At 52.6% G+C, this 9198-nt stretch overlaps 1 annotated feature.

The window, feature by feature from the left end:
* Positions 5066 to 5614: an enhancer, noted in NCBI's record as "H3K4me1 hESC enhancer chr10:72663371-72663919 (GRCh37/hg19 assembly coordinates)". NCBI's record gives its function as "activates a minimal SCP1, AML or CMV promoter by ChIP-STARR-seq in primed H9 embryonic stem cells {active_cell/tissue: H9 hESC(primed)}" and the evidence as "EXISTENCE:reporter gene assay evidence [ECO:0000049][PMID:30033119]".

Below are 9198 nucleotides of genomic sequence, written 5' to 3'. Positions count from 1 at the left end.
TTGTTGTCATGAGGAGAAGGAGGTGAAATGAATGGGTAAGTGAGTGTGTGGATGGATGGATGGATGGATGGATGGATGGATGGATGGAACATTACACTATGGTGGATGTAACGATGGAAGGAAGGAAGGAAGGAAGAAGGAAGGAAGGAAGAAGGAAGGAAGGAAGGAAGATGGATGGAAAGATGGGTGGAATGAAGGAAGCATTCATCGCCAATTAGAAAACCTTAGAAGACAAAGGACAGAGAATGAGTTTTGTTTGGGACATGTTGCATTTTGAGTGCCCCCACAAGGCATCCCATCAAAAGTGTCTAGGGGCAGCTGATAGCACAGGCCTGAAGTCCAGGAGCACGTTCTGGGCTGGGAACTTAGGACTATGACCAGCCATAGGACAGGGGAAGCCATAGAGTGGGGCAGGGCGGCGGGGCAGACGGTGGACTGGGAAGAGGGCAGACGGCATCCCAGCAGAACAGCCAGGACTCTTTCAGTGTCAAATAACAAACTCCAAATGGCTGAAGGGAAAAAAACCTCAGCTCATGGAACCGAAACATCAAAATCAGGGAACGCTGGGTCCAAGTGCTCAGTTGAGAGCTTGGGAGTCTCTCCTTCTCCTTCCGTCACTCAGCTCCGCTCTCCTCCCTGTTAGCCTCTTCCTCAGGCAGTCTCTCCCTGCAGTGGCCAAGACACCCAGGCAGCTCCAAGCTGACGTCTCACCACATAAGCAAGAGGAAAGACCCCTTTTCCTATCTGGCAGAAACCTAGGCTGGGCTCACCCTGGCCAGGCCTGGACACAGGACATCTCTGAAGCCAGGAGGTGGATCAGCCCCACCCAAACAATGGGGCGAGTGGGTGGGGAGGGAGTCCGAGGAAAATCTAGGTGTTGGCAGTCAAAGAAGGTGGAAGCATGCTGGGCAGGCACCCCCACAGCTGCCCACTTCACCAGCCAGCACCAGCGTTAATGGGGGAAGGGAGTGTCCCCCACAAACGCACGCCTGGCAGGGTGTGAACTCCAGGAAAAGGTCAGGTTTCCAGAAAAAGGGAGAGGTCACCTGTGTCAGCCACCACTAGCTGTCAGGAGGGATTGTGGCAAGAGCAAGTGCTCCGACCAACTGCTGCCACTGCTGCCACTGAAGAGAAGCCATGGGGACAGGGATGGGGCCTGCGAGGGTCCCCTGGGAGAGGCAGCAGAAACAGAAGCAGATGAGGGGCCTGGGCAGAAGAGTCCAGAGGCAGAGAGAGGAGGAGAGGAGCAGGCAAGGAGGCAGGCAGGACAGAAGGGCTGTGAGGAGCCTGGGGAGGTCAGATGGCGAGGAAGACCCCCAGAGGAGGACCCAGAAAGGACATGAGACCAGGGAGGAGGACAGAGGAAAAAAACACCAACCGACCTCCCTTCCTCCACCTCCCCCAAAGCCAAAAGTTAAAAATAGGCAGTGTGGCGAGCGGGAGACAGAATGAGGGCAGTTGTCTAAAGAGAGAAAAGGCAGCGGAGCCGGGGATGGGGGAAAGGCCCTGCAGGCCTCGGCGAGGATAAAAAATGACAGCGGCAAGGCACAGCCTCTCTCCCACCCAGACAGCCTCCCTGCCACCCATGGGTCGGCCTGCTGGGCTGAGGATCATCCCGCAGCTCAGCCTGGGCCCTGTGGAAGGGCTGCAGAATAATAACCCCACCCAAGGCCGCACATGGCTGGCTCCCTGCACCCAGGATCTGGGCACTCCCACCTGGCAGGGTGGGGACAGATGAGAAATAGAGGCTCAGAGAGTCCACGACATGCTACTGACTCCTGGGCACCGCCAAGAGGTTGTGGCCACAGAGACGACCCACCGTGGGATTCCCCAGGCTTGGGGTTAAAGTACAATGGGCACCTCCCTGTGCCGACACCAAGCTTCCAGCAGGACAGAGAAGAAAGGGGGAGTGGGCAAGTCAGAAGGTGATTTGAAGTCACACATCCCGTAATGCCTCCCCACCTTCCTGCACTGACAGCCCTGGTGGGGTAACTGAGGCCCAGAGAGGGAACGCTATCTGCCCAGGTGCTCAGGACAGCGAGCAGCAGAAGTGGGCACTGAGAACCAGGAGAACCTTTGGTTCCCAGCCGCACCCATCCTTACCTGGCTGGGTGTCCAGGCTAGACACCTCCTTCCTGGGGCTCCAGCTCTCATCATCCCCTGCCCTTCCTGCCTCCCTTCTGGGCACATCCACGGAAGAACTAATTCGTGGTTGGTTTGTAGAGGCAAAACCCCACATAAACATACACAGAGCGTTATGAGCTAAGAGGAAGCCCTGCTTGGAGCCGCCGTGTGCTGACATGGCTGCTCTCCATGCCCAGCTTCGGGGGGTCATTACTTTTGTCAGCAGACAGCATGATTATTGGATGGTGTTAATAATCTCTTATGTTTATAGATGGCCTTTCTTCTAAGGTTCTTAAAGCTCTTCCACATTTAACTTCCCCTTGTTGCCAGGAGGTCGATACCACAGCAGAGAGAAGCATTTATCTCCATGTTTTTATGAGGCCCAGAGAGGGTTGGCCATCTGCCCAGGGCTACACAGCAGATCAGCAACATAACTGGAATTAGTATTCTGGGGCCCAGGAAGGACCACCTTCTGGACATTCTCTCTGGCCATCTCAGGACAGGCCCACCCTTACACTTGTCCAGGGTTTTTATCCAGGTTTGACTCCATTTGATGAGGCAGGGCTGTTGGAATTATCACCACTGTGCAGGCTCAGAGAAGTGAAGTGACTTACCGAAGATCACACAGCAATGAGCAGATTGAGGACTCAAATCCAGGTCTCTGGACTCCCCATCCAGTGCTCTAACCAGGGCAGCAGCTACCCCCAACCACCCCAAAGCTGAGTTGGAGAGGCTCCAGAAGGAGCACTGAGGTGAGCCCAGTACCTAACAGGAGGAGGGAGACTTTGTCCTGTTACACCTGCCTGCAGGGAAATGGGGATGGGGCAGAGCCAAGGCCACTGTCCTCTGGGATCCCAGGCTGGGGCAGCCACGGTGGCCATCTCTCTCCCTTGGCCCACAGGTGGTTGGAAAGGAGGAGAGTAAGAAGAAACAGGATGGTCCCCATGGACAGGAAATCTCGGTGGGTTCATGGACACAGCAGACCCCTCCTCTCTCTGTGCTCCCACCCCTTCCACTGTCATGTGAGGATGGGGCTGGACACGGTGAGATCTAAAGTGCCCTCTGGCTCTGAGGTAGCTGAGATCTCCGAGAGTCAGGGTCTGCCAGCAGAGTCCAAACCACCAGAGCCCCTCTAGGCATCTTGGGCCAGGGAGCCCCGTCCAGCCCTCATTTGTCTCAGTGCTTACTGCGGAGTGAGGGGCCCAGGCGGGCAGGATGCAGGAAGAGGACAGCAGCAGACTCCAGCCCTGGCCCACCTCACCCCCAGCTGGCAGTGACCTTGGGCAAGTCCTTCACTCTCTGGCTGTCTGTCTCCTCCTCTAGAGAATAAGCGAATCTCCCTAGTGGGCCTTCTGGCCCCCGGGTGGCTATGATTCCCTGTGGCTCCCACAGGGGCAGCCCTTGCAGTTCGGGCTGGTTTGCGGTGTACAGGAATCTGATTCCGACATTGAGAAGCATTGATTGCTGGGCCTCTTCGGGGGCCACTGGGCCACAAAGAGAGACCAATTAGGCCGTGTCCATCTTCCTTCAAAGCCACAGGGGCCAGAGCTCCCACCCGGGGTGCCCAGGCCTTGGGAGGCTCAGGTGGGAAAGGCTGCTCCTCCCAGGCCCCAGTAAAGATGAACAGGCCTGCCGGGAGTGGAGGGGAGGTGGAAGGCGGGCAGGGCTGGAGACTAATGGAACTATTCAGGGGGCAGGAGCTGGAGAGGAAGACGTGCTTGATTCTCAAGAAAGATGAGGGAAGTGGCTGAGGCGGGGAGGGCGATCCCAAGGCTGCCTCTCGGAAACCTGCTCCCGGGCTCCACAGGGCTGCAGCCGAGGGTGGAGCTCCCCCACCTCAGCCCTCACGTCGAAGCAGGTGCCAAGTTCTGTGGGCACTGCCTCCGTACCAGCTCTGCACAGGTGTCTTCTCCCATTCTGTGGCCCCCAGGCTGCAGGAGGCCGTGCTTCGGAGCTGCGGGACCACCCAGCCTGTTTGAAGCCCAGTGCTGCAACTTTGCTCTGTTATTTCTGCTATGTCACTCTGAGCGATTTAGTCTCTCTGAGCCATAGTCTCTTTGTCTGTAAAAGGGGGAGATAATAGAATCGCCTTCGTGGGGCATTTGTGAGGATTAATTAAGACTGTGTGCAGAGTGTCTGGCACTTGGTAAGCTTTCCACACCTCCTCCCTCCACAGCTCAGGCTTAGCTAAGTCCACGTCCCCACTGCTTCTCCCCCAGACCCTCATCAAAGTTTCCTGCTGACGCCCTGCCTCACCCCTTCTCCCCCAGCTTCCTCCTCCACTCCCTGCCAGGGCAACCCTCCTGCAATGCCAATCTGAACCTGGCCATTCCTGGGCTTGAAATCTGTCAGTCCTGGTATGGCATGAAGTGAAAGAATGACATGCATAGGCTGGGCGCGGTGGCTCACGCCTGTAATCCCAGCACTTTGGGAGGCCGAGGCGGGAGGATCACGAGGTCAGGAGATCAAGACCATCCTGGCTAACGTGGTGAAACCCCGTCTGTACTAAAAATACAAAAAATTAGCCGGGGGTAGTAGCAGGTGCCTGTAGTCCCAGCTACTCGTGAGGCGTGAACCTGGGAGGTGGAGCTTGCAGTGAGCCGATATTGTGCCACTGCACTCCAGCCTGGGTGACAGAGAGAGACTCCATCTCAAAAAAAAAAAACAAGAAAAAACAATGGTGTGCACATTGTTCAGGTGTTATCATAGTAGTGCAAGCCTGTGTTTTTAAAGAGTCTCTCATTTTTAGAGATATACACTGAAATATTTAAATATAAAATGCTATGTGATTTGCTTCAGAATAATCTGAGGGTGGGAAGGAGTGGGCGGCCGAGACCAGCCTGGAAACTTCCTGGTGGAGCTGGCTGGTGCGTCTGTGGGGATCGTTATGCCAGTCTCCCTTCTTTGGTATGTTTAACAATTTCTATCTATAAAAGGTTTGTACAAATGTGGAGGGAGAATGGATGAGAAGCTGGTAGATCTCTGTTGGTGCCAGGTGCTGGGTACATGGGGGTCCATGAACTCTTCTCTGTACTTGGTGCCTATTTGATAGTTTTCATAAGAAATTTTTTTTTTGTTTTTTAAAAAGGAAATTCTGTCTGTTCTCCCTGCTGCACCAGAATGGAGTTCATGCATGTGGCTCCAGGGCCCCCCACGAGCCATGGCCAGTCACCCCAGCCCCTTGCACCCTGTGCTCTAGGATCCAGGACATAGCCAGCAACCAGACATGCCCGCGGTCACACCTCCATGCCGCTTGCTGTGCCCCCTCAGAGTGGCACACCTCACAACCCTGTCAGCCGAGAAGGCAACTTCTTCTCTTGCTTCAGCTTAAGAGTTGCCTCCTCTAGGGAGCTGGTCCTCATTTTCCTCCGGCCTCCCCCTAGGCAGAGCTGCCCACTGCCTCCTTGAAACCCCCACAATCCCTTCGGCCTGGGACACTGCGGACACAGGCTGCAAGGGGTGGGGCTCGTCTTAGTGCACCCAGGTCCCAGCACGGGGCCTGAAGCTCAGTACCTGTCCACTGAGGATTGAAAGGTCTCACCTAACTCAGGACTGAACCTTGACTGAGCCCCCCACAGAATGGGTCTCGTTTCCTGAGGTGGCCCTGCCCCCTTCTGGTGGACAGAAGTGTTGCAGGGAAGGCGGAAAGCAAGTTGGGCCAAGTCCAAGTCTACTTCCTTCATGGAGCAGAGCTGGGAACTGGGCTCCCCAGGGGAACCTACACAGAACCATGCAGAGCCTGTCGCCATGAGCCTCTCCAACCTCTTCAGTGCTCTCAGGTCTTCACTTAGAGGAGCACGCCACAACCTCGCAGACTGGCTGGCCTTTGCTCAGCCACCTTCTCTGCCCGGGTGCCCATCCGGGTCATCCCCCCCGCCCAATCTTGCCTCTGCCTGGCCAGCTCCTAATGAATCTTCAAGCTTACTCTAAGCACCCCCTCCAATGTGAGTGCTTCCCATGTGTAGAGTTGTTGTCACTCCACTGCAGCCTGGCCTCACGGCCTCTGTTAGAGCACTTGTCACCTGTAGCATTGGTGTGATCATCTCCTTCCCTAGATCAGAAGGTCCCTGAGAGAAGACACTGGTTCTCAGCATGGCAGGGACACACTAAGAACTGAAGTCATGTGTTGAGTCTCTACCACTATTGCCAAAAGCTCCTTCTGCCCTTCTCTGACGGGAAGGCAGTCTGGCCCATCAGAGAGGAAGAGGTGGCAGGTTCTGCCTCCCTAAGGAGGAAACTGGAACTTACCATTTCTGATGTCTAGACCTGTGCTGCCCAATAGGGTAGCCACTAGTGACTTGTGGCCACTAAGAACCTGAAATATGCCCTGTGACTGAGGAATTTATTTTGATATTTTATTTAATTTCAATTCATTTTAATTTACATTTAAACACTGATAAACAATTTGACATGTAAATCTACTTTTTCAACCATAAATTTTACGAAAAATAAATGCGGATCAAGTGTTTCCAATAAAAATTTAGTGTTCAAATTAAGGTGTGCCATAGGGTAAAATACATAGTGGATTCTGAAGACTTATATGAAAAAAGAGAATGTAACAGCTCAATTTTATATCAATTACTTGTTGAAATCATAACATTTTGGATATATTGGGATTAAATAACATGCAGTAAATTAAAAGCAATTTCATATATTTCTCTTTACTCTTTAAGAATGTAGCTATCTGGCCAGTCGCGGTGGCTCATGCCTGTAATCCCAGCACTTTGGGAGGCCAAGGTGGGTGGATCACCTGAGGTCGGGAGTTCGGGACCAGCCTGACCAACATGGAGAAACCCTGTCTCTACTAAAAATACAAAATTAGCCAGGGCTGGTGGCGCATGCCTGTAATCCCAGCTACTCAGGAGGCCTAGGCAGGAGAATCGCTGGAATGCAGGAGGCGGAGGTTGCAGTGAGCCGAGATTGTGTCATTGCACCTCAGCCTGGGAACAAGAGTGAAACTCCATGTCAAAAAAAAAAAGTAGCTATCGGGAAGTGTAAACTCACATGCGGAGCCTGCATTTGTGGTTCCCATTATATTTCTATTGGCCAGTGCTACAGTGGACCAGGGCCCCACCCTCAGGACTATTGGTATTTGGGGCTGAACAGCTCTTCCTTGTGAGGGGCTGTCCCATGCACTATAGGATGTTCAGCAGCTTCCTTGGTTGGCACTCACTAGATGACAGCAGCACTGCCATCCCCAGTGTGACAACCAAACCTTGCCAACTGTCCCCTGGGGGAAAAAATTCACTACCACCCTGATGGAAAGCCACCACTCTGGGCCCTTCTGATGGGCAATCATCACAGCCCCCTGTGAGAGATGGGTGGAAACAGCCGGGGGTGCAGGGAGGGGACCAGCAGCCCTGGGCAGTTCTGTGGGCCCAGGAAGGGGACCAGAGGGGCCAGTTTCAAGGTTCATGAGGCAGGAGCCTGACCCTGCTGTCCTGATCTACGGGCTGTGGGGCAGATGCCCTGGGAGAACTGCCGAGAGGGCCCCTGAGGAGCAGTCTTGGTTGCCGAGGGATAGGGGCCCTCCCTGGGGGCACCTGCATAGAAGGCTGGCAGCTCAGGGAGCTGCCACCCCTGGGCAGGAGCCTGGGAGACTTTCCCTGAGCAGAAGCACAACAGGACCTGATGGCGGCACCCTGCGCGGCAAAGGCAAGGACAGCAGTGGGGAGAGGCGGCGTGGCTCTGGGTTCCTTGAGAGTGGAAGCCCTCCTTTGGGATCGGGCAAACCCTAGGGTTCATGAACCACTTAGGGAGGTGGGGTAGGAGGCGGGGTAGCCCCCCAAGTGTAGATTGTATATCCAGCCCATGGCGGGGCACGGGGGTTCTACCACATTCTAGTCTGAGGCGATTTAAGTAACATCATTTGCATCCCAAGGGTGTGGAGCACTTATCTCTGCAGCAATCATCGTGATCTCTCCCTCCCCACCTTCCCAGAACCTGACACAGCTTGGCAGGTAGAAACCAAAGTATAGTTGAGGAAGGAAAGGAAGGAGGGAGGGAAGGAAGGGAACTTGGCTTTGGTCGTTATGCAACTGGGAGATAGTGCATGAAGCAGACAGGCACCGGAATTGTGAATGTTAGAAGCTTAGAATGGGAAAGGATCTAAAGGCTGTCTTGTCCAAAGCTCTGAACCATATGCACGGCAGTCTCTACAGCAGCCCTAACAGGATCCGTGGATTCAATAGCGGCCATCAGGACTGCGGAGCTCCTTGCCCCTTCCCTGGAGGCCCATCCTGTGTGCGACAGCATGACTGGTTCAAAGTTTTTCTAATCCATTGACAAATATTAGAACTAAATAGAGAGTTTATCAGCATGACTGGAGACAAGATACCACATCAAAATCCACACTTCTCCTATATACCTGCAAAGGCCAATTAGAAATGTAATGAAGCAATCATCCCGTGCATAGCAGCCAACGCTGACTATAAAACACCTAAGAATAAACTGAACAAGACATGTCCAAGTCCTGCATGAGGAACACAGTAAAACTTTACTGAAGGGCATAGAGAAGGCCTGAATAAATGGGGTGATATATCACACTCCAAGATGGAAAGACCCGATAATATGAAGATGTCAATTCTTCCCAAATTAAATCTATAAATTCAATGCATTCACAATCAGAATCCTAAAGGGATTTTTATGGAACTTGACAAGCTGATTTTCAAGCTCATCTGAAAGAGTAAACAAGCAGGAATAGGCAAGAACATTTTGAAGAAGAAAAATGAGATTGGACTTGATGTACCAGATATCAAAATGAACTATAAAGCTAGAGAAATTAAAACAGGATGGAGTCGGTGGATCAAAGGAACAGAACAAAGAACCCAGAAACCAAGCTATGGGGATTATGGGAAATTAGTATATTACAAAAGTAGCATTTCCAATCAGTGGCGAAAGGATGGCCTATTCTTTGTATTTAAAAAATAGTATGAGATTATTGTTTATCTATTTGGAAATAAAATAATTGTTACTTTTCTTATTCTTATTATTTCTCACATCATAGCCAAAAGTAAATTCCAAAGAGATTAACAAATCTTTTACCAACTTTTTACCAACTGAAAAAGTACTAAG

The sequence above is a fragment of the Homo sapiens genome, chromosome 10 (assembly GCF_000001405.40).
Source record: "Homo sapiens chromosome 10, GRCh38.p14 Primary Assembly".
Lineage (NCBI taxonomy): Eukaryota > Metazoa > Chordata > Mammalia > Primates > Hominidae > Homo > Homo sapiens.
This window is presented reverse-complemented; position numbering and strand designations above follow the sequence as displayed.